This window comes from Homo sapiens, chromosome 12, assembly GCF_000001405.40.
Source record: "Homo sapiens chromosome 12, GRCh38.p14 Primary Assembly".
Taxonomy (NCBI): domain Eukaryota; kingdom Metazoa; phylum Chordata; class Mammalia; order Primates; family Hominidae; genus Homo; species Homo sapiens.
Genome location: NC_000012.12, coordinates 96,518,664 through 96,543,488, shown reverse-complemented (window position 1 = coordinate 96,543,488; position 24,825 = coordinate 96,518,664). Strand labels below are relative to the sequence as shown.

General features: G+C 38.2%; 1 protein-coding gene across 2 annotated transcripts in view, besides 3 other annotated features; it reads right to left on the bottom strand.

Annotated features, from left to right (window-relative positions):
* The window catches only part of CFAP54 (cilia and flagella associated protein 54), a 385,979-nt gene that overhangs the window by 332,067 nt on the left and 29,087 nt on the right, over nucleotides 1–24,825 (bottom strand). For both annotated transcript variants that reach the window (NM_001367885.1, NM_001306084.2), the window contains exons 6-14: nucleotides 24,418–24,561; nucleotides 21,519–21,632; nucleotides 21,300–21,401; nucleotides 16,045–16,243; nucleotides 9,516–9,697; nucleotides 9,262–9,427; nucleotides 7,889–7,974; nucleotides 4,971–5,105; nucleotides 2,502–2,652 (exon numbers count right to left, since the gene is read on the bottom strand). In NM_001367885.1, coding sequence (NP_001354814.1) covers nucleotides 2,502–2,652; nucleotides 4,971–5,105; nucleotides 7,889–7,974; nucleotides 9,262–9,427; nucleotides 9,516–9,697; nucleotides 16,045–16,243; nucleotides 21,300–21,401; nucleotides 21,519–21,632; nucleotides 24,418–24,561 — 1,279 coding nt within the window. The remainder of the gene's footprint in view (nucleotides 1–2,501; nucleotides 2,653–4,970; nucleotides 5,106–7,888; nucleotides 7,975–9,261; nucleotides 9,428–9,515; nucleotides 9,698–16,044; nucleotides 16,244–21,299; nucleotides 21,402–21,518; nucleotides 21,633–24,417; nucleotides 24,562–24,825) is intronic.
* Nucleotides 20,356–20,856: an enhancer, noted in NCBI's record as "OCT4-NANOG-H3K27ac hESC enhancer chr12:96916411-96916911 (GRCh37/hg19 assembly coordinates)". NCBI's record gives its function as "activates a minimal SCP1, AML or CMV promoter by ChIP-STARR-seq in naive H9 embryonic stem cells {active_cell/tissue: H9 hESC(naive)}" and the evidence as "EXISTENCE:reporter gene assay evidence [ECO:0000049][PMID:30033119]".
* Nucleotides 20,857–21,357: an enhancer, noted in NCBI's record as "OCT4-NANOG-H3K27ac hESC enhancer chr12:96915910-96916410 (GRCh37/hg19 assembly coordinates)". NCBI's record gives its function as "activates a minimal SCP1, AML or CMV promoter by ChIP-STARR-seq in naive H9 embryonic stem cells {active_cell/tissue: H9 hESC(naive)}" and the evidence as "EXISTENCE:reporter gene assay evidence [ECO:0000049][PMID:30033119]".
* Nucleotides 20,904–21,198: a silencer, noted in NCBI's record as "tiled region #8563; HepG2 Repressive non-DNase unmatched - State 24:Quies". NCBI's record gives its function as "represses a minimal TATA promoter and a strong SV40 promoter by Sharpr-MPRA in HepG2 cells {active_cell/tissue: HepG2}" and the evidence as "EXISTENCE:reporter gene assay evidence [ECO:0000049][PMID:27701403]".

The following is a 24,825-nucleotide window of genomic DNA, read 5'->3' as shown; positions in this document are numbered from 1 at the left end:
TCCTGGCTTCTTACCCCCAGTCTCCTAGCAGCCCTTCACCAATGACAGATAAAAGCCGTAGAAATACAACTTCATTGTATTTGTTCTGTATGGGATCCTAGAGGTCCCTCATGGGAACAGGCCCTGAACTCACAACAGCAGCCTTCTCATTAACTTACCATGCATTACATGGGGCTTCCTTTCCTCCGCTGTCTCACTTCTCCACTGTGCTTCCCTGGATAAGGTCCCAAATAAACTACTTCACTCAAATCATTGTCTCAGAATCTCCTTCTGGGGAACCAACCTAGACCTGAACTCACAGATAAATCTTTATAGCCCAAAAAGTGGGATAACTAGGCATTGTGTGCCTCCTGATTCAACGCAAGGGAGTAAATAGCACTACCTATGAAGTACTGTTGCTGAAAAATAAGACAAGTGGCAAGAATTCTTCTTAACAAAGTATCAGCAGAATCTAAGTAAGCATCCAGCTCTAACTACCAGGTGAGAAGCAAGTTAATCAACATCACATGGAGGGAAATGGCCAAATCCAGAATGTGGAAAATCCCACAGGATAATGACTCAGTTTCTTCAAAAGATAAACGTCTTGAAAGGGGAGTATGAAGGAGAGAAACCACTAGAGATTAGAGAGATTTAAGAGACATGTCAAGAAAATACAATGTGTGGGCCTTGTTTGGATTCTGATTGGAACAAACCAACTTTAAAAGATATTTTTTAATACAATCAGGGACATCGGAATTATTCCCCATTTTGTAAGATATAATAATAATGGCACTGTGGTTTTATGTTTTGAAAAATCCTTATCTGTCAGATAATAGTTAGATACACACATACACATGGTGGGGTGGTATTTGCTGGAAAAATTACGTGTCTGTTTTAAAATACTCGGAGAGGGGGAAACGTTGCAGGGAGAGATGAAATGAGATTGAAAAGATGTTGATAATTATTGGTGCCGGACGATGCATACATGGTGATTTATTTTTTCTCTCCACCTTATATTTAAAGTTCTGCATAACAAAAGTTTTTAAAAGGAAAAAAAGCATTTTAATCCAGGACATTTCAGAAATATAACCTGAGGCCAATGAATGTGTTCGATGGCCAGAGACTTTTAGCTGATGGTTGTCAAACTTTGATCTATATCAAATTCACCTGAGAAGCTAATAAAGACTAAAAAGGTCCAGGCTAGCTGAAGTAGGACAGAGCTTGGGCCTTGCATTTTTAACAAGCTTTCAGGTGATATTGATAACAATCAAAATTTGAGAACCATGGCTCTAAAACTCCATCTGCAAGGCCACACTCAACAGCGGAGGACAGGCAGAGCCAGATTCGTGAATCTCCAAGTAAAGAGTAACTTTATTACGAAGTCCTCCAGATGTCATACATGCTCTATAAGTGGGGTGAAACAGCAAAGTAAACACCCTCCATGGACTCCTCCACATTATTCCCCACCCCATGAAATATAGTACAGGGCTGCAACCAGAGGCAGAACAAAGAACAAGGAGGTCAGAGCAGAAGGCCATCCTTTGAGAGAAGACATCTCCTGAATGGAGAAGAGAAAGGGGTTGAGACAGGAAGAATGGGGGCTGGTGGGGAGGGGGTGCTAGGAAATGAAAGCAAAAAGAGGAAGATGATAAGGATAAGAAGAAAAAGAGAAAGGGGAGGAGAAACAATAAATGAAGAAAGAATTTTAAAAGGAAGGAATTAGAAGAAAGAAAATAGAAAAGGAGATAGAAAGTAGAATGACACTGATCCATTCAACACTTACTTGATCTCCTGCGCTGTGTCAGATGATTTGGTGGGTGCCAAGAATATGTCAGTGTCCAAAACATAGTCTTCCTTCAAGCATTCACTCTTATGGGAAATGGAAGGGGAGGAAAAACAAAGGAAGATAAAAGAGAGGAGAGGTGGTTGGGTGCAGTGGCTCACATCTGTAATCCCAGCCCTTTGGGAGGCCAGGGCAGGCAGATCACTTGAGGTCAGAAGTTCGAAAGCAGTGTGGTCAATATGGTGAAACCCTGTCTCTACTAAAAATACAAAAATTAGCCAGGCATGGTGGCCAGCACCTGTAATCCCAGCTACTCGGGAGGCTGAGGCAGGAGAATCGCTTGAACCTGGGAGATGGAGGTTGCAGTGAGCTGAGATTGTGCCACTGCACTCCAGCCTGGGCAACAGAGCAAAACTCCGTCTCAAAAAAAAAAAAAAAAGGGAGAGAAAGTGAAAAAAGAAAGAAAGAGAAGGGACTAAAGGGGAGTAGGCAGTAATTAGGAACAGAGAAAAGGAATATGAGAAGACAAAAAGGATTTTGTCCTTCACTGAATCAGAGAGCATGAAACCTTAACATCCACTTGATGAAACTATCTTATTATCTATCTCTAATTATAAATCCTCAATGAAGCATAATATTGAAGTGCCTAGTTTCCATTAGTAGGAGTTATCCTGCATTTGATATCATACCTATATATTTGTATTTATATATGTATACAATTTTTCAGCCAACATTTTACCTAGAGATTGTTTAAATTTTCTTCCTGGGCTTCCTAAAGATTCCAATATTTCACTTAACCGTAATGTGACTTCTGCCACTACCACAATGTCAATGTCTTCCATTTTATAGCAGTGAATTACTTCATTTATCTGCCACAGAAGATAAATCCACTAAAAAGAGAAAATACACAGCAAAATTAATTAAAAGTATATGAAACTGTAGAAACAGTCACATTTTTCAAAACTTATACTTCCTTGAAACAACCATCTTCTAATCATATGGAAATGTTACACAGGTACCCCTCCTTATTAACGCCTTAATTATAAATAACATAAAACTCAATAATCCTTTTAAAATGATATTTAGTAATCAATCTGTTTATATAAATTCATAAAGTAGATTCATTTAAGTCTAGAGTCTGCACATCTATAGCCATTATGGCAAATTTATGATCTGTTATTTGTACATATCAGTGAATAGTATCTGTATCCTCAAAGTTCTCACTGTCCCTTTGAAGCAGCTATTATGATTACTATCAACATCCTCCTTATGAGTGGGGAAGCAGGTGTTTCAGGCTCCATATCAGGTGACTTAGATTGTCTTTCATGGCCGGGCACGGTGGTTCACGCCTGTAATCCCAGCACTTTGAGAGGCTGAGGCGGGTGGATCACGAGGTCAGGAGTTCGAGACTAGCCTGGCCTATATGGTGAAACCCTGTCTCTATTAAAAATACAAAAAATAGCCAGCGTATTGGCGCACACCTGTAATCCCAGCTACTCTGAAGCCTGAGGCAGGAGAATCGCTTGAACCCGGGAGGTGGGGATTGCAGTGGGCCAGGATCGTGCCTCTGCACTCCAGCCTGGGCAAAAGAGCGAGTCTCTGTCTCAAAAAAAAAGAGAAAGAAAGAAATTGTCTTTCATGCCTGTATCCCCAAAGCTTAGCACATAAAACCAACTATCACATTTTGGGACCTGAGATTATAAAACGGTATTTATGTACTCACATTATTACTTAACAGAGTACATGATAAAAATCACACCTATGCATACTAATGTAGCTAATCTTATGCAGCTTCCAAATTACCAAAGCTATAATATTTGTTATTATTAAATTTTTTCTCCTAAGTTTCCAGGTTATAATATTCAAATGCTCACCCTTCTCCCTCCTATAAAGTAGCTCTTTTAAATGGTCTAAATATATTATTGCAGGGGGAGAAAATCTGACACTCTTACGTCTCTGTATTCTCTATTATTAATCTTCTTTTTGAATTGATCCAAGCTCATATGACCTCAGATACATTATATTTATTTTTTATTTTTATTTATTTTTTTTGAGACAGAGTTTCACTCTGTTGTCCAGGCTAGAGTGCAGTGGTGTGATCTCGGCTCACTGCAACCTCCACCTCCTGGGTTCAAGCAATCCTCCTGCCTCAGCCTACTGAGTAGCTGGGACTGCAGGCACACACCACCATGTCCAGCTAATTTTTGTATTTTTAGTAGAGACGGGGTTTTCACCATGTTGACCAGGCTGGTCTCAAACTCCTGACCTCGGGTGATCCACCTGCCTCAGCCTCCCAAAGGTCTGGGATTACAGGTGTCAGCCCCTGTGCCTGGCCCATACTATATTTATTCTTCACTTAAAAGCTTGAAGCCGGGCGCAGGGGCTCACATTTGTAATCCCAGCACTTTGAGAGACCAAAGCAGGTAGATCACGAGGTCAGGAGTTCAAGACCAGCCTGGCCAAGATGGTGAAACCCCATCTCTACTAAAAATACAAAAATTAGCCGGCCGTGGTGGTGGATGCCCGTAATCGCAGCTACTCCAGAAGCTGAGGCAGGAGAATCGCTTGAACCCGGCAGGCAGAGGTTGCAGTTAGCCAATGCACTCCAGACTGAGTGACAGAGCAAGACTCCATCTCAAAAACAAAAACAAAAAAAAAAAAACCTGAAAAGGCCGGGCGTGGTGGCTCATGCCTATAATAATCCAAACACTTTGGGAGGCTGAGATGAGCAGATTGCTTGAACCTGGGAGTTTGTGACCAGCCTGGGCAATGTGGTAAAACCCCATCTCTACAAAAAATAAAACAAAATTGCTGGGCATGGTGGTGTATGCCTGTAGTCCCAGCTACTAGGGAGGCTGAGCTGTGGAGGATCACTTGAGCCCAGGAGGCAGAGGTTGCAGTGAGCCAAGATCATGGTACCATACTACTGCAGCCTCCAGGACAGAGCAAGACTCTGCCAAAAAAAAAAAGGCCTGAAACACCTCTTCGCTCCTCACAACAAACAAAATTAGAACAGGAGTGCAGGGAACACACATTAAAAGAAAGGGTCACTCAGCGCTAGAAAGAATATCTTCTTTATATATGTATATATGCAAATGAAAGTCATTAACCAGGTGAAAAATAGGAAAAATTTAGATTTGAAATGTGTGTGGCAACTTGAATAAGCAATAGCAAAAAAAACACGTGAAAGGGAATGCGAAAGGAATACTTTGTTAGTACTGATTTTCTGGGTGAATTTTGCATAGTCATTTCTGGATATATTGAGCCGCTGAATTCCTAATTTGCATTTCTGCCATAGGAACATTATCGTGTCCACAACAATTTCTTTATCAGGTTGAACATCCTAAAAACAAAAGTGAGAAGGTAAATGAGTAGGAATAATAAAATACATGTATATAACATTTACTGTGTGCTGAGAAACACTCTAAGAGCTTTACAAATACTAACATGTTGAATCTTCATAATGACCCTATGAGAGGAGTCCTAGTATGATCCTCCCCATTTTACAGAGGAGCAAACTGAAACACAAGGAGATTAAGTGATTTTTCCCAACATGAAATGACTAAAGAGTGGCAGATGGGAGGGATTCAAACCTAAGTAGTCTAGCTCCAGAGTCCTCACTCCTTTTTTTTTTGAAACAGGGCCTCACTCTGTCACTCAGGCTGGAGTGCAATGGCAAGATCTCGGCTCGCAATCTCACCTCCACATCCCAGCAGGTTCAAGCGATTCTCGTGCCTCAGCTTCCCAAGTAGCTAGGAATACAGGTGCACACCACCACACCCAGCTCATTTTTGTATTTTTAGTAGATATGGAGTTTCACCATGTTGGCCAGGCTGGTCTCGAACCCCTGGCCTCAAGTGATCCACCTGCCGTGCCATCCCAAAGTACTGGGATTACAGTGTGAGCCACCGTGACCCACCTAGATCCATCACTCTTAATGAATGCTCTATGCTCTTCCGCCTCTCTAAAAAGAAAATTCCCAAACATTTTTAGGCAAGTTTGCAAACCAATTACTTCCACCTGACTGTGAAATTTACATATACTTTTCTCTTTTTAAAATTCTTGCATTAAAATAATAAGGAATTGGACAGGCGCAGCGGCTCAGACCTATAATCCCAGCACTTTGGGAGGCCAAGGCGGGTGGATCACCTGAGGTCAGGAGTTCAAGACCAGCCTGGCAAACATGGCGAAACCCTATCTCTACTAAAAATATAAAAAGTAGCTGGGCATGGTGTCGTGTGCCTGTAGTCCCAGCTACTTGGGAGGCTAAGCCACAAGAATCGCTTGAACCCGGGAGGCAGAGGTTGTGGTGAGCCAAAATTGCACCACTGTACTCCAGCTTGGCGACAGAGCAAGACTCTGTCTCAAAAATAATAATAATAAGGAATTGGAGCAGGGGGAGATGAACTAGTAACTAGAGAAGCAATGGGGAGTTGGGAAAGTGTAGAGACAAGAAGGAAAGGCAAAAGCTGAACAGAACCTCACACTGGGTGTCAACTGATGAGCCATAATGAGTATGTTTTCTCTCATCCAAGTTACTTGCCTTTGCAAAAGAAAATTATTATTCATTATAGCTAAATTAGAAAAATAATGAGTTTATGATTAAAATATACCAAACCTGGAGCTCTCTGAGGCTGCTCTAAGACCTAATTTGCATATGTAGCACCTTCCTGCAATGTTTGGGAATACGACAGATATCAATAAGTGTTTATTGAATTGAATTGAATTGAATTGAATTGTATTGAATTGAATTGAATTGAACTAAGACATATATCATTTTAGCAAAACAGATTAATGAGGGCCAGGCACAGTGGCTCACACACCTGTAATCCCAGCACGTTGGGAGGCTGAGGTGGGCGGATCATCTGAGGTCAGGATTTCGAGACCAGCCTGTACAACATGGGGAAACCCGTCTCTACTAAAAATACAAAAACTAGCCAAACATGGTGGCACATGCCTGTAATCCCAGCTACTCGGAAGGCTGAGGCAAGAGAATCACTTGAAACTGGGAGGCAGAGGTTGGAGTGAGCTGAGATCGCACCACTGCACTCCAGCATGGGTGACAGAGTGAGACTCTGTCTCAAAAAAAAAAAAAAAAAAGAAAAAGAAAAAGACAAAGAAAAACAGATAAAGGAAAGTTCCCTACCTTTTTAAGCCTTGATCGCTATTTTTTGGTTAGCTCTCCCACTGTAATAATTTATTTACTGCCAAACACCTTTCTTTCAAAAATTAAATACCTGTCACAGGTTATAACTTATTCTGACAAACCCAGAAGAAATGAAAAATATTATAAAGCAGAACTTCTCAAGTGTGCTTCACTTACCTGGGCAAAAGTTAATACAGTGCTCTATAACCGTGGTTTACATACTTTTTAAAAATGACAATATAACCAAATTTTCAAATGAAATTTCATCAGAATCCCAGTGTTATATACAAAAGTAACAAAAACAGATTAGGAAGCTACTACTTAAAGCTGGGCTTCTCCATTATCCTCAGCAAACTAACACAGGAACAGAAAACCAAACACCACATTCTCACTTATAAGTAGGAGGTGCAGCAAACCACCACGGCACATGTTTACTTATGTAACAAACCTGCATGTCCTGCACATGTACTCCAGAACTTAAAATAAAAATTAAAAACAAATAAATTAATTTAAAAAACAAAACAAAGTTAGGTTTCTGAGGATCCCTGAAATTTGTTTAATAACCATTGCTATATTATAATAGTTTTACCTGAACACTGGTACCCTCTTATAGGTCATTTTAAAATACTGGCCATTGTGTGCAAAGTGACTTCCAATAATAACAAGGCTTTGTACTCATGGATTGAAAGCAGTATTTCATTAAACATATTAACTCTTCCTAAAAACCACTGCCTCATTTCCTTCATTATTAGAAACATAGCCTGAGAATTTCCCAAAAAGGAAGACACTCAAAATGACAACAATAATAAAAAGAAACTTAAAACTACAAGTCAGAATCTAACTTAATCCTATATGCTAATGATTAAACAAAATAAAATTTTAGCAAGGCGTAATTCCTGTGATATTTTAAATTCGGCCTTAAGTTAGGCACAAAAACCTCCTTCCACACTAATAAAAATTATTTAAAATAGCTATTTCACCTGGGGAGCAGTGCAGACACAGACATACAAGGTTGCTGCCAAATGGAAAATATCCTCTGAATATCCACAAGTCTTCAAACAAGTATCTAAGTTCATAAAGTAGAGGAAAATGAAACAAAAAAATCACTTACAAAATTTCAAATAGAAAAGGCACAGAAACACAAATATGCTAAAAAAATGACACAAATGATAGGCGGGCAAATATCATGTCAATAAGACAAGTTAAATACTTCTATATGAAAACTAATCTTGGCTGGGGGCAATGGCTTATGCCTGTCATCCCAGCACTTTGGGAGGCTGAGGCAGACGGATCACTTGAGGTCAGGAGTTTGAGACCAGCCTGGCTAACATGGTGAAACCCTGTCTCTACTAAAAACATAAAAATTAGCTGGGCATGGTGGCAAGTCACTGTAATCCTAGCTACTCGGGAGGCTGAGGCAGGAGAACCCAGGAGGCAGAAGTTACACTGAGCCAAGATCATGCCACTGCACTTCAGCCTGGGCAACAGAGTGAGACTGTGACTCAAAATAAATAAATAAATAAATAAACACACACACACACACACACACACACACACACACACACACACACAGAAAAGAAAACTAATCTTAGTGGCTCTAATCCAATTAAAATAGACCATTATCATAAATCCAACATTCCAACATTTGTATGCTATGTCCAAAAAGAAACTGAAGAGGCTTATAATATTAAAGTGCACATAAAATATGGTAGTTGAAAGAAAAATAATAAAAATATTGATTCAGAAATCACTAGAAGACATATATCATTACTTGGTACAAATTACTTACTGCAACTGATAAGCCATGCAATATCTTAAGAACATGGCAAAACATTAAAAACCTGGAATTAAATAGTTCTCTTTGGTGTAAAAAGCAGACACGGCAGGTTTTCAATTATACACACAATAACTTTTAGGATTTGAAAAGTCCTAGAATGGCAAACACTGCAAGCTGGAAAGAGACAGGAGATTACCAAACCTTCCCTTCCTAACATGAACTGATGACTTTGTCCTCTGATTCACTGCCTTGCGGGCCTCCCTCTTATCCAACTAAGCCGGAAAGTAAATAGAACCTCATTCCCCTACTCAAAACTGTCACTCAGAATATAATCTAGCATCCTTACAAAGCCCAGGAACTACATCATCTAGCGCCTAGCTACTTCTCTAACCTTGTCACCTACCACACTTGGTCACACATACCCCCATGCCATTCCTGCAATCACCAAACACACTCTTGTCTCAGGGCCTTTGTACCTCTTGCTCCCTCCGCCTTCAACATCCTTTCTCTCACCATATCTATAAAAGAGCATATTTCGTCAAACTAAATTTTTTGAACAAACAAATAAATACTTACCATGAACAGCAATTTTTTTTAAATAAATTTGAGTTGACTGTCCTTCTTTATAGTTTTCCAAAGGAAAGATCAAACCTTTGTTTCTCTTCACGTTGATTAGTGGTTCCATTGCAATCAGAAGAGTTAAATCCTTCTCTGCTTTCTTTGACTCTGGATCATCCTGCCTCTTGGGGAAGTATATCCCACACGTTAATTAGTAATTGGATGTCATTTTAACAAAAAAAAAACCAGGAGGATAATTTTGCATATATTACCTGGAGAAAATAAATAAGATGTACAGCAGAAGATTCAAATAAACTCCACTCCTCATAGGTAAAAGCTAATTTTATAAATTTCACAGCAGCATCCACAGAAATAACATCTTTTCTTCCTATCATAAGTTCCAGAAGAGATGTTTTTGGAAAATCAAGCATTCCATCTGCACCAATATTTGACACTAGGAAAGGAAGAAGAGAGTTTTGAATATCACTCATGCAAATAAATATTTATTAAATATTCACTATAGACACTTTCAGGCACCAGGAAAACACAATCCCTGCTTTCATAAGATTTACGTTCTAGTGGGGGAAACAAGAAATCTTAGTGGGCAAATACAGGGTGGTGCTTTAGGGACAAATAGGAAGGGCATCCAACACAGATGTGGGGAAGGAGGGCAGTTAGGGAAGGATACTCAGGGGAAAGAGAATGGAATCTCAAACACAGAATGAGCAAGAGTTCCTAGATACAGGTTGGAAACTTGGGAAAGAGATCTAAAATGGGGATAGAGCTTTTAGAGTCATCATTATACATCCACAGTAAATAGTAGATTCAGCCATGGATCATGTTGCCTTGCACAGAATAATAAGAAACACCAACATTTAAGAGAAGAGCAGAGGGAATAAAGGCTGCAAAGGTGAGTGTTTAGAAAGAAAGGAGTACTCAACAGTAACACATAGATACAGAAAGTAAAGAAGAAAAGGACTAGCCAGGCTTATTGGCGTGCACCTATAGTCTCTGTTACTCAGAAGGCTGAAGCAGGATGATAACTTGAGCTCAGAAGTTTGAGTCCAGCCTGAGAAATATAGCAAGAACCTGACTCTCAAAAAAAAAAGAAAGAAAGAAAAGAAAAGTAACTGAAAGTAACTGAAAGTGACCCCTGGATTGAGCAATAAGGTTGTCCATGACATTCTTAGTAGAGTGCTAGAGTCTGCCCACTGTATAAGTAGAAAGAAAATACTTAGGAACAATGAAAACAGACAATACCGTCAATAAATCTGGCTGTACCAAGAAGAAGACCTATAGGGAGGAAGCTGAAAGAAAACACGGAGGCCCAGTCACAGTGGCTTATGTTTGTAATCCCAGCACTTTGGGAGGCCAAGGCAGGTGGATCCCTTGAGCCCAGGAGTTCGAGACCAGCCTGGGCAACATGGAGTAACCCCACCTCTACAAAAAATACAAAAATTAGCCAGGTATGGTGGCACATGCCTGTATTCACAGCTACTCAGGAGGCTGAGGTAGGAGGATCACTAGAGCCCAGGAGGTCCAGGTTACAGTGAAGAATGATCGCACCATTGCACTCCAGCCTGGGTGACAGAGTGAGATCCTGTCTCAAAAAAAAAGGGCACGGTATAATGGGACCACTTGGACACTTGGAGGGATTAGGCTTAAAGACACAAAGAGAAACATCCCCTCTCCTCCATTTAAATGAGAGATAGTGGGAAAGGATCAATATGCATGAGGGTAAATTTGGGGGTTTGGGTGAAGAAAGTCAAGGAAATTCTTATCTAAAACTTGTATTTTTCTTAGGAAGAGAAGAGCCCAAACTATGGCACCAGAAGTTCCCTGCATTCAGATGGGCATTCGCATACACATGTGCACCCACATGTGCCCACACCCACACACTAAACTCACCTAAAGGCATAGGAGCTAACCCTAGGCTTTTCTCCCTCCTCTCAGGTGGACACTAAGGCCAAGTCAGCTAATTGTTCCAAGAAGGAAAGCTCATGGGAAAAGAAAATTAAAAGCAAAAACATCTTGAAAGAAAAACCACAAATGAAGCATCCTTTACCACAAGAAGCAAGAAAATGGAAAAGCACAAACAAGAATTTAAGTGAAAGTGTTCTCTCAGAAAAATAAAAGAGGATATTAGAAACATAAGGCAAGAACAACTGCTGTGAAAAAAGAACCAAGTGGATTCAATGTATAAAGTACATCATCATTGATGGCCGGGTGCGATGGCTTATGCCTGTAATCCCAGCACCTTGGGAGGCCAAGGCAGGCAGATCACCTGGGGTCAGGAGTTTGAGACCAGCCTGGCCAACATGGTGGAACCCCATCTCTACTAAAAATACAAAAAATTGGCCCGGCGTGGTGGTGCACACCTGTAGTCCCAACTACTCGGGAGGCTGAGGCAGGAGAATCGTTTGAACCCAGGAGGCAGAGGCTGCAGTGAGCTGAGATCGTGCCACTGCACTCCAGCCCAGGCAACAGAGCAAGACTCTGTCTCAAACAAACAAACAACAAAAATAACAAAAAAGTATATCATTGTTGAAACAAATAATTAAATAGGTAAACAGAAGAGTAGAACAGAGAGAATCAAAGATGAAATTCGTGACCTGAAAAATCAGATAGAGGAAGCTTCCCAGAATGCAACAGAATAAAGACATGAAAAGAATAAAATAAATAAGACATGGAGGATGAACATCTATCCTGTTAACATCTGTCTAATGGCATCTTCAATGCCTTGAAGGATTTTTTTTTTAAATAATGAATATAAGGAAAGAAATTTAAAAGTAACATGAAAAAATGAAAGAAAGATATGACCTCAAAGTATCTGCTGCATTACTAAACCCACCCCTAGATCCAGTAGAATAAAATGTAAGAATGTCATAAGAAAGAGAAAATTGTAAAAGATACATCTATAAAACAACAAGATTTAAACTGACATTACACTTCTCAACAGAAACACTATATATACAAGATTATAAAAAAGAGCATCAAAATCTTAAAGAAACTTGTAAGTAAACTATTATATCCAGCCAAACTACTTCAAAATTCTTAGAGTTTGTATTTCAGCAAAAAGAAATGAATTTAGAAAGAAGCAATGAAAAATGGGAAGTAATGATGAGGAGAAAAAAATCTTAATAAAGGTATTTTCTGTCTTAAAAAGCAATGACCAGGACTTGTATTCAGAACATAAAAAGAGCTCTCAAAACTCAAGAGAAATAATTAACAATCCAATTAGAAAGTGAACAAAAGACACTAGAGAAAAAGAGAGTATACAGATGGGAAATAAACACATGAAAAACTGTTTAACATCTTTAGCCATTAGGGAAATGCAAATTAAAGTCACAGTGGGATATTACTACACACCTATCAGAATGGCTAAAATAAAAAAGTAATGATACACCAAATTCTGTCAAGGATGTCCAGAAACTGGATCATTTACACATTGCTGGTGGAAATATAGTAGAGTCACCCTGGAGAATAGTATGACAGGTTCTCACAAAACTAAATATGAACTTATCATATATCCAATCCAGCAATTGCACTGTTGAGCATTTTATTCCAGAGAAATGAAAACTTACCTTCACACAAAAACTTGTACTCAACTGTTCATAGCAGCTTTATTTCTAGTAGCCAAAAACTGGAAATAATTCAAATGTCCTTCAAAGGGTAAGTGGTTAAACAAACTGTGGTGTATCCATACCATAAAATAATACTCAGCAGTAACAAGTGAAAAAAAATTTTTTTTGAGACAGAGTCTTGTTCTGTCCCCAGGCTGGAGTGCAGTGGTGGTGGTGTGATCTCCATTCACTGCAACCTCTGACTCCTGGATTCAAATGATTCTTTTGCCTCAGCCTCCCAAGTAGCTGGGACTACAGGCACATGCCATGACGCCTGGCTAATTCTTGTATTTTTAGTAGAGACAGAGTTTCGCCATGTTAGCCAGGCTGGTCTTGAACTCCTGGGCTCAAGGGATCAGCTCGTCTTGGCCTCCCAAAGGGCTGGGGTTACAGGCATGAGCCATGGTACCCCGCCAAGTGAACTATTAATACACACAACCTGGATACATCTCAAGAGAATTATGCTGAGTGAAAAAACAGACAACACACATACGGCCACCTAATTTATGACTAAGGGATACTGCAGCCAACTAAAGGAAGTTATCTTCAATAAATGGTGCTGTGTCAACTGAATATACATATAGAAGTATATAAATCTTGATTTCTACTTCGTATAAACAAAAAAGATCTAATTTCTAATTATAGACCTCATAAACTTAAGGAAGAAACAATAAAACTTATGGAAGAAAACATACGAGAATATATTTACGACATTGGGGTAGCTGAAACTTCTTAACCACAACACACAAAGGATCAACTATATAGGATATATTGATAAATTGGACTATATTAAAATTAAGAATTTCTGTTCCCCAATGGATATCATTAAGAGAATGAAAAGGCAAGCCATCAAGTAAGAAATGATATTTGCAATACATGTATTCAATAAAGGAATTATATCCAGAATAGATAAAGAATTCCTATGAATCGACAGAAAAAAGGACAAAAGGTTAAAATAGGCACCTCACAAAATAGGATATCCAATAGTGAAAAAAGTATATGAAAAAGTGTTTAACTTTATTAGTCATCAGAGAAATTTAAGTTTATACTGCAACACCACTGAATTCACACCAAAATGGACAAAATGAGAAAGACAGATAATACTAAGTGTCAGAGAAAATTTGGAGTAATGGAACCCTGATAAAATGTTGATGGGTGTGCAAACTAAAAAAAACCACTTTGTAAAACAGTATCCAATGAAGCAACATGGGAATATCCCATGCTCTTGCAATTCCACACCAACAGAAATGCATAGCAGATGTTTAACATATTTCTCTGAGTAATTCATAAAATAAAAAGACAAAAACTATCAGTAGGGATAGAGAAGATCTAACCACATGATTTACTAGCTTAACTTAATCAACATATATATAAAGCAATGCATCCAACAACAACAAAAAATACATAGTCTTTCAAGTACACACAGACTATTTACCAAAGCTGGTCATGTGCTAGGCCATAAAGCCTATCTTAACAAATGTTCACAGTTCCAAATAATACATAATGTGCTCTCTGACCATAGTATAATTAACATAGAAATCAGTAACCAAAAGATAATTAGAAAATCTCCCATATTTTGGTTCAGAACCCATATATCAAAGAATAAATCACACTGCGTATTAGAAAATATTCTTACTCCAATAGTAATAAAGATATGATATATCAAAACTTCAGATACATAGCTAAAGCTGAATTTAGAACAAATGTCTTAATATGCATTTAATGTAAATAATAACAAATCCTAAAAATCAATGATCTAAGCTTCCAAGTCAATAAGTTTTTTAAATCAGTAAAGCAAACCCAAGAAAGTATAATAAAGGAAGTAATGAAGAGCAAAAATCAATAATATGGAAAATGGACATACAATAGGGAAGATCAACAAGGTCAAATATTGTTTCTTTGCAAAGACTAATGAAACTGGTGGACCCCTGGTGAAATTGATGAAATAAGAGAGAAAGCAAACTGACCAATACTGAAAAGAAAATCTGAAAAATTTTATATCTATGGAGGAAATTGAATTCATCATTTAAAATATTGCCATACAAAAAATTCCAGGTACAGATGGCTGCACCAGAAAATTCAACTAAACATGTAGGAAGAAATAACACCAATATGACACAAACATTTACAGATAATGGAGAAAGAGGGCATACTTCTCAACTCATTTTATGAGGCTAATATGACCTTGTGAGCGAAACCTAAAAATAACATTACAAGAAAGAAAAGTCTCTCCCTTCAACAGAGAAGCAGAAATAAGCAATCCATAAAATCAACCACATTAATAGAAATAAATGAGAAAGCCATTTGATCGACTCAGTAAATCTCAATAAATTCAGAGAAAGCTTTTGCTAAAATTAAACTATTCAAGATTAAAAACAACAACAAAAAAAAACACTTAGCAAACCAGGAATACAAGAAACATCTGTGATCTGCAAAAGGGTATCTATAAAAATTATTCTGTAGATATCTCAAATAATGGCAAAATGTTGAAAGCTTTCCAACTGAGGAAAAAAATGAGACAAAGGAGTCTGCTATCACCACTTCTTCCCATGTGTTATTGGAGATCCTAGCCAGTGCAACCATCAAGAAATGCAAGAAAAGAGAAATTAAAAGATTAAGGATTGGACAGAAATAAGTCATTCATAGATGACTGTATATACAAAACAAGTCCCCCCAAAAATCTACTAATACATTATTTGAAATATCAATTGACCTTAGCAAGGTTTCTGAATTCAAGATCAATATAAATTATATCAGCTTGGCACAGTGGCTCACACCTGTAATTCCAGCACTTTAGGAGGCTGAGATGGGTGGACTGCTTGTCCCAGGAGGTCGAGACCAGACTGGGAAACACGGTGAGACCCCGTCTCTACAAAAAATACAAAAATTAGCCAGGTGTGGTGGCATGCACCTGTAGTCCCAGCTACTTGGGAGGCTAAGAAGGGAGGATCACTTGAGCCCAGGAAGTTGATGCTGCAATGTGAGCCATGATCACGCCACTGCACTCCAGTCTGGGTGACAAAGAGAGACCTTATCTCAAAAACAAACAAACAACCAAACAAAAAAAAAAAAACAATATAAATGTTATCAGTTTCCTATGTATGGACTACCATGTTAAAATTTTTGTTACTCATGTGTATCATTCTATCATAAAACAATATCTTAACATCTTATTTACTTATCAAAAGTTCTTTTCCTGCCATAAACAATTCTGAGACAACATCATGAATCTCCACTTCATCTGTAACAATGGGTCCAGTTTGCAGTATTCGCCTATTTGAATCAGAAAGAGCTTCCAAGACAGCCAGAAACTGGGATGCAGTGCTATCAAACATCTCATCCAGTAGCCGCTCTGTGACAGTTCGTGGCCATGATAACTGAAATTGAGAAAAAAAAAAGTTCAGTCCATTTGTTAAAGCTATTATATTGTGGGCGCAGTGGCTCATGCCTATAATCCCAACACTTTGGGAGGCCAAGGCAGGAGGATTGCTTGACCCAAGGAGTTCAAGACCACCTGGGCAACACAGTGAGACCCCCATTTCAACAAAAAAATTTCAGAATTGGCCAGGCATGTTGGAATGTGCTTGTAGTCCCAGCTACTTGGGAGGCTGAGGTGGGAGGATCACCTGAGCCCAGGGAGGTAGAGGCTGCAGCAAGCTAAGGTCATGCCACTGCACTCCAGCCTGGGTGACAGAGTGAGACCCTGTCTCAGGCAAAAAAAAAAAAAAAAAAAAAAACCTGTTATAAGGCAAAGAAAAGTAAGGCATGCTTACAATGCTAAAACAGAGAGCAGTTGGTCTAACAATTAGATACCTGCTTTTATGGTTTTTTGAGATGTCACTCCAGATTTCATTAGAGATATCATGCTGCCATTACATCAAAGACTTTGTTGTTTCTTCATATGCTTGTGTTTCCAAGGCAGCATTAAAAGGTTGTTTATTATGGTTTGCTTATTAAGCAAGCATATATCTCCATATGCTTTATAGTATCTTCATTATAGCCTTCGGAACTGATATTCAAACTTTGGTTACCTAAGAATCACTCAGGGGTGCTTTGTAGATTCAAGACCAAATTTCCAGAGATTTTGTGTGTCTGGACACTTTTAATAAGTGTTTAGGACACTTTTAATAAGCACCACAGGATATTCTCATGCAGAAGGTCTTCAAGCCAAAATTTGAAACAGTATTTAGTAGTATAAATAACAAGGTTTGTGGTAATTAACTCTAAGAAAGAATTGATCAGCTTTATGCTAACAGGCTAGTGACTGTTTAGAACCTGCTGTGGGTTCCCAGTCATTCTGCTTTGTACTGGCCCAAAATGACTGCACTTCCTGCACATGCTTCCTGCCACACTTCATTCTTCTCTCCATCAAATGACCTGTTCTCTGCATTTAGTTTGCCAGTAAATAAGAACCGTAGTTTTAGTAGGCTTTTCTAGAATCCTTATCCAGCTGGAAGATTTCCTCATAATTCCCTTGCTTTTATTTCTCTTCTTAGGGCAAAGTCAGAAAGACAGAAAAACAAAAGCAGGGATAAAGTTGCCTTGAACTACTTTCCCGCAAGCACTAGCTTCCCTACTCATAAGCTTGTGTACCTTTTCAATCCATAGATCAACTGACATGTTAAAAATTTCAACAAGGGGCTGGGTGCGGCGGCTCACGCCTGTAATCCCAGCACTTTGGGAGGCCGGGTGGATCACAAGGTCAGGAGTTCGAGACCAGCCTGGCCAATATGGTGAAACCTCATCTCTACTAAAAATACACAAATTAGCCAGGCATGGTGGCGCGCGCCTGTAGTCCCAGTTACTTGGGAGGCTGAGGCAGAATAATCGCTTGAACCCAGGAGGCAGAGGTTGCAGTGAGCCAAGATCATGCCATTGCACTACAGCCTAGGTGACAGAGTGAGACTCCATCTCAAAAAAACTTCAACAAAACTTGAACTTCATGCCCTACCTTCTCTTTTCTTACAGAGGTAAGAGTTTTTCCTAAGATTTTTATTTAGGTTAAAACAGAGCTTTTAAAAATACATATTGAAACAGCATAATTAACTTTATAATAATTAGAAGTATTCAAAATGAAATGGTAAAACCCAAATGAATAAAAGAATGAAATTATTTATAAAAACATCATAGAAAAACCAGCAAAAAGAATGGAATATTTATCAGAGCTGTAAATGAAATATTAACTAAAAGATTTTGAAATATAAATATTTAAAAGATCTATAAAAAAGAATTAAAGCTGAAGCAATAAGGAAAACAATGGATTGTCAAGTATGAAAAGCAAAATAATAATATCTATAAAAATAATGAGCTCATTCAAGTATATTTTAAAAATTAAAATCCCTAGTAAATAAATGGTCAAAGACTGTGAAAAATAATTCACACAATGAAAGAAAAGTTGGCTCAAAGAAATAAAGTTAAAATGGCAAGCCATTTTATGAAAACTGAATTAACAAAAAAAAAATTTAAACAAATAATAATATCAAAATAATAACAGCTTGTGATAAAATTCGTACTTGCAAGTTGTCACCCTGAAAATAGGAATACTCATTTTGGAAGTCAAGTTGGCAACATATATCAAGAGAAATAAAGTGTTTATGTCCTTCAATTCCATAATCCTACACCTGGAATTTTATCCACAGAAAATAAAAGAAAGAAAAAAAATAAGCATGTCTGAAGATGTGGATGATGTCAATACTTATAATAGCAAAAAAAGATTTGAAAGAACTAAAGTAATAATGATAAAATATTAGACAAATTATGACACATATACTGCATAGGATATATTATCTTATTTAAAATGTCAGGATGAATGAAAATCTGAATGGCACAACTGTACAGTCTGGTTCCATCTTTAAATACTACAGTCTCCATGACATCTACTCTAGGAGATGTATTATGTTAATTTCCCAACATCAAGTGCCTATTCCTAGTCAAGCTCTGTTTATCACTGACCCCCAGCAAATTTTGCCTACTCTGGCTTCTAAGCTATGACCATGCTCTGATCCTTCACTTGGAATGTTTTTCTCTATTCTCCCTGTCTAACCAAATTCTGCCCGTTATCCCAAGGCCCTTCAAAAAGCCAGGGCTGCAATTTAGTATTTCTATATTCCACTATACTTGAAACCACAGTAGATACTCAATATATGGTTGTTGAATTAATAAAAAATAAATAAACAATGATAGCTAATATTTACTGAGGACCTACTTTCTACCTGCCAGCAACATTCTAAGGGCTTTACATGTAACTCATTTCATCCTCACCATTATCATTATTTATTTCTTAATATTTATCACAAGCTTTAATTATTTATTTATTTATGATATAATTCTCCACTAGAATGTAATCCTCATCTATTTTGTTCACATAGCAGGTACTTAAAAAATATTTATTGAATAAATCACTAACTAATCAATCATTAGGAGTCTGAATTAGTAGTCCTTTAAAAGAATCTTTTGAGAGTCAAAATGATTTACTATAAGTTAACAACTTACATACAAACCCAGAAATGTTTTAGAAAATATGTTCAATGCATATTGAAATTATTTAGTAGAAACATAATAAAATTATTTCATACACAGAAAACAGGACATTCTGCAAAATATGCCAAGGTAACATAGGATGACGTTATAAAAAGGATGTGTTGACTAGCCTCTGAAACAACTACTCACTAAACAATTACAATTTTTTCTTAAAAAAAAAAAATCACCAGAACTTTTCATTCAACAATTATCTTAAGGGAAATCAGATACAAATTAGTTTTTAATGTAATTTTATCTGGAATTTTAAACATTTTTCTTTGAAAATGTATTTAGTTTTGCTACCAGGATAACTGTTAAGTCCTAATAATATTCTAAGTAACAACAGTCTTGCAACTTTGGATATTTAAATTTGGTTGCTCAGAGAAAAAAAATGCCGGGGAGAAAAAAAAAATTGTTCCCTGTCCTTTTACAAAGACTATAGCATCACTACTTAATACCAGATGCAGGCAGCTTAAAAGCTTATCCAAGGAATTGCCTATAAATTAATTAATATACTTGCCAATTAATATACTGTTGGTTAGTAAGGGATATAGCTCAAAAGGGATGTATAAAATGTACCTGTGGGCTCAGTAGTCAATATTGTCACTAAGTAGCAATGGAAAGGTACCATGTCCAAAAACTTATTTGTATTTAAATATAGTAATTCATTTAAAAGAAAGAAAAAGGATTACTCCTAAATGTGTTAAGAAGAAATGAGGAAAGAGAGTAGCAGTGATTGGAGTAGAGGCCAAGCACTGGACTTAGAGATGCTGGTTCTGGTTCTGCCAGCGGCTGCCTTTGTGACCTTGAGCCAGTCATTTAAATATTGCAGGCTTTATTTTCCCAACTGTAATATAAAAGGACTGAACCAGATGGTTTCCCAAATCCTTTCCAGGTTCTGAGATTTGATACACCTCTTCTGTAAGAAACTGCTCACCTCCTTCCCCCCAGATTCATTTTCAATCTCTACATGGAAGCTCGCAGAAGAGGGTGTATATCCATCTAGAACAGTCAGGGAGAGCTTCAAAACGATATAGAACTGGGCCCTGGGGGATATTAAGAGTCAGGAAGGCAAAGGGAAGAAGAAGAAGAAAAAGACAAGGGGAAGAAAAAGGGCCGAGGGCCCCACAGGTGTAACTTTGCCTACTCCCTGCCCTGTGATCATCTTTACTACTGTTTGCCAAATAGGCTTGTGGTTGGGAGGGGCTGTGTGACTGGTTATGACATGTGAGAAGAACAGACTCATGTCACTTCCATGTTGAGCATCAATGCCCATGAAAGGTCCCCCAGAACTCTCTTTAATCCCCTCTGGCCAAATGACCAGCAATGTTTGAAATGAAGGCGGCTCTTCAGCCTGGCCCTGAGCAGCTTTTGTAAGGCAGAGCCCCTGATAACTAAAATAACATATGACTCCAGTAGGCAATAAATTGTTGTTTTAAGCCACCTGAGGTACGGGTGTTGTTTGTTGCTACTGGATAACCTAGCTCCTGAACATTCCCAAGGGTGAAACCTAAGGCTGATGAGAAAAGGTGCCTCCATCTTCTCCACAGCCTCAAAGCCTGCTCGCCTGCTCAGCTAACCCTAAGTGGTCAAAGACAAAGGCAAGTGCAGAACCACTCAGAGGCCTATTCATTTGCAAGAGCCAGTTCATTGAAATCTTTCACAGGCTCCTCTTCAGCCTCTTGTTCTTTAAGGCTGCAAAACTGGGATTGTGCTAAGACACAAAAGCTTTGAGAAAGAGATGAAGCGAGGCTACGTGCAAACTAGAAAAACATTCTTCTCTCTATTTACCCATTAGGGCAGAGAACTGGGGGCAGAATTTAATAATGAGTGACTAGGCTTGAAAGACATAGGAGCATAATACAAATATACTGCAAAAAGAGTCTTAAAGAGAGAAGACATGTTTAGACTTACAGTTTGTACTTCCCTTAGGTTAATTCTTATCTTAGGTCTAAAGACAGCTTTGTTTTTTCTTCTAGATTCAAAGACTCCTCTTTTGAAGATCATCACTGCCATCTGCCTCAAAAAGCAGAATTATACATGAAATAACAATGAGATGCACTTCCCAACTACTAAGTATTTAATCAGCTGTAGAGTGTGGTAAATTTCTTTTATTTCATGAAATTTTTATACCTTCATTGTGGCCTCTCGAAAATATCTTCGCGATTCTTCCTGGGATTTTGAGGAACTCATTAATTCCAGTTGCCTTAACTCATCAATTTTAGCCAAAGCACGCCGAGCAAATGCCTACATGTGATTAAAATAAATTTAATTCATAAATCAGAATATAGTGATTAAAATGTATAAAGACAATGTTTTGTTCTCCCAGGCATTTGATTTAATCTGTGAATTAAGCTCTAGGTTAATGCTGACTCCTTTTATCCAGTCTATCATTTTATTTAAGAACCACTAAACTCTCTAATAAACTGTGAATAAGGTGACTTTAGGAATTATGAAATTTTAAAAAGGAAAGCTGAAATATCACTTAAACAGTAGCTCCATACAGATTATCGCTTCTCAGCATTTGGCACCGCACGTCCTCATGTGCGCACGCGCACACACACACACACACACACACACACACACACACACACACACACGTCCTCAGTTGCTCTTCTCAAATCCTAACCTTCCTATCATGACATGCTGTATTATCTACCTAACTGTTCACATTGACCATCAAATTGTGACTTCCTGAAAGGATCTTACTCATTTTTGTGTCTCCAATACGCAGCACACTGTATTTAATAAATATCTGAAGGAAGGAAGAAGGGAGGCTTTCTTATTTAATCATATCACCATTATTATAATCCTCTAGAGATAACAAATGAGTTCAAAGGAGTTATTAAGAACTCAATAACAAGAGTTCATGTCCCTTATTTCACCAACTCTTTGAAATATTTCATTCATCATTTATAATTTTTAATGAAGATGCTTCTAGATCAACCAAAATATTAACATATATGAAGGGTTACATTTTCCAATAAAGAAAAATCCCAATAGGGATCAAATGGCCAAAACGCTATAAAAGTTCCATTCCCTAATAATCTTAATAGCTATAGAACAAAATATGCCACCACTAGTACACTGAAGTTAACTATATATATACATGATGAGTTGTCTTTCTGGAATGTATCTTGAGCTACACAAGTAACCCGTGAAGGTTAAATTAGGCTGTTCTGCCTATGTGCCACCAGCATCAAACCCTTCAGAATTAGTTCAGGCAGGAAAAACTAAATGGAATTGTGAATTGGCCAGATGATTTATTTATGGTCGTTAACAAGATATGAATAGGCATGTGCACAGCCATGAAGGCAGTCCTACACAAGACTTCCAGCCAAAGAGGTTGACTAGAGCAGAAATCCAGCTTACGCCCCACATACCAAACCATGCACCCTTGTGCAGGAACGTGTTGGCCCAAAGGAAGGGGTGCTTATTTCTCATTCTCACCAAGGTCCCATCCACTGACCAAGCCAGGTGTCACATAATGTAGAGAAGGTGCCTTTTTCAAATTGATACAGGGGCACTCTACAGGCCAATAGAAGCTCTGGAGTGACACATATATAAATTTATATATATATAAATTTTTTTGAGATGGAGTTTCACTCTTGTTGCCCAGGCTGGAGTGCAACGGTGCGATCTCAGCTTACTGCAACCTCAGCCTCCCGAGTAGCTGGGACTACAGGTGCACACCACCATGCCTGACTAATTTTTGTATTTTTAGTAGAGACAGGGTTTCACCATGTTGGTCAAGCTGGTCTCGAACTCCTGATCTCAGGTGATCCACCAGCCTTAGCCTCCCAAAGTGCTGGGATTACAGGCATGAGCCACCATGCCCAGCCTGAAGTTAAGTTATATTTCAAGTACTCAATCAAAATGAAATGAAAGAAGGAAAAACAAAAAATAGAGTGTATTAAATGGTCATTAGAAAGTGTATTCAATTAGCTTGGCATAGTGGTGTGTGTCTGTAGTCCCAGATACTCCAGAGACTAAGACTGCAGTGAGCCGTGATCAGACCACTGCACTCCAGCCTGGGCAACAGAGCAAGATTCTGTCTTAAAAAATAAAGAAAGAAAACAAAAGAAAAACAAAGTGTACTAAATGGTGGTTAGCAGAGAAAAGCAAGACAAGAGTGTACATACTAAGTGATAAGGAACACAAAACTAAACGAGGAGGGAAGGTGGCTTGTATTCAAGAGCAAAGTGAGGATGGAAAGACAACAGATAGAAGTTTTTGAGATCTATTGCACAGCATGGTGATCATAGTTAACAATAACGTATTGCATATTTCAAAATTACTAGTAAATAGATTTTAAGTGTTCTCACTACAAGAAAAAGGTATGTGAGAAGATGAATATGTTAATTAGCTTAATCATTCCACAGTGCATACATTCAACAAAACATCACATTGTACCTCATAAGTATATACAATTATTATTTGTCATTTAAAAATAAAAATCTTAATTTTTAAAATTCCAAAAATCTTACTCAGAAATGGAGCAAAGAAGGTGAAAATGAATAGAGAATAAAGGAGAGAGCAGAAAGGAGGGTGAGAGAGAAAAACAATGGAAAAGCCAAGCCAATTTGTGCAAATAAAGCTGAACTTTTGTCTTTTCTTCATTTCAATTCTTTGGTTGGGTTTTGTTTTTCCCCTGGCAGGCATCTAAGGAAGAAAATGCTGGATACGCTCTATTTTAAAATATTGGGCCTGGACACAGTGGCTCACGCCTGTAATCCTAGCATTTTGAGAAGCCAAAGCAGGCAGATCACCTGAGGTCAGGAGTTCGAAATCAGCCTGATCAACATGGCAAAACCCTGTCTCTACTAAAAATACAAAAATTAGCCGGGCATGGTGGCGCATGCCTGTAATCCCAGCTACCCAGGAGGCTGAGGCAGGAGAATCGCTTGAACCTGGGAGGTGGACGTTGCAGTGAGCCGAGATCACATCACTGCACTCCAGCCTGGGCAACAAAGCCAGATTCCATCTCAAAAAAAAAAAAAACTCGACTCCTCAGAGTTAAAAAGCAGCATACCTCTCCGTGAATCCCGGCATGGCAGTCATAGCAGCACTGGCAAACAGCTGTGTAGAGAGTAGCGCGCCATGTCAAGTACCTGAGTGACAGGAGCGGGACCAAGGACTCCATACACATGCTGGCCCACAGGAGATACTCTAAGGCCTGCAAAATAAAGGGCACCATTGGATTTGTTTTCATTTGAAGTTAATAATGATAATTGTATTAAATATAATCAAATTCTAAGTTGTGAGCACAAGTTGCTGATTACTCAAACCAAAAATACCATAAATAACGTGTCAAGAAGAAACAAGCATTTAAAAAGTAAAAGATAATTTAAAAGCTCAAAATCTCAAGCCATTTTGGAAGACATCCTAAAATGTCTTTTTTGTTTGTTTATTTGTTTTTAGACAGAGTCTTGCTCTGTCA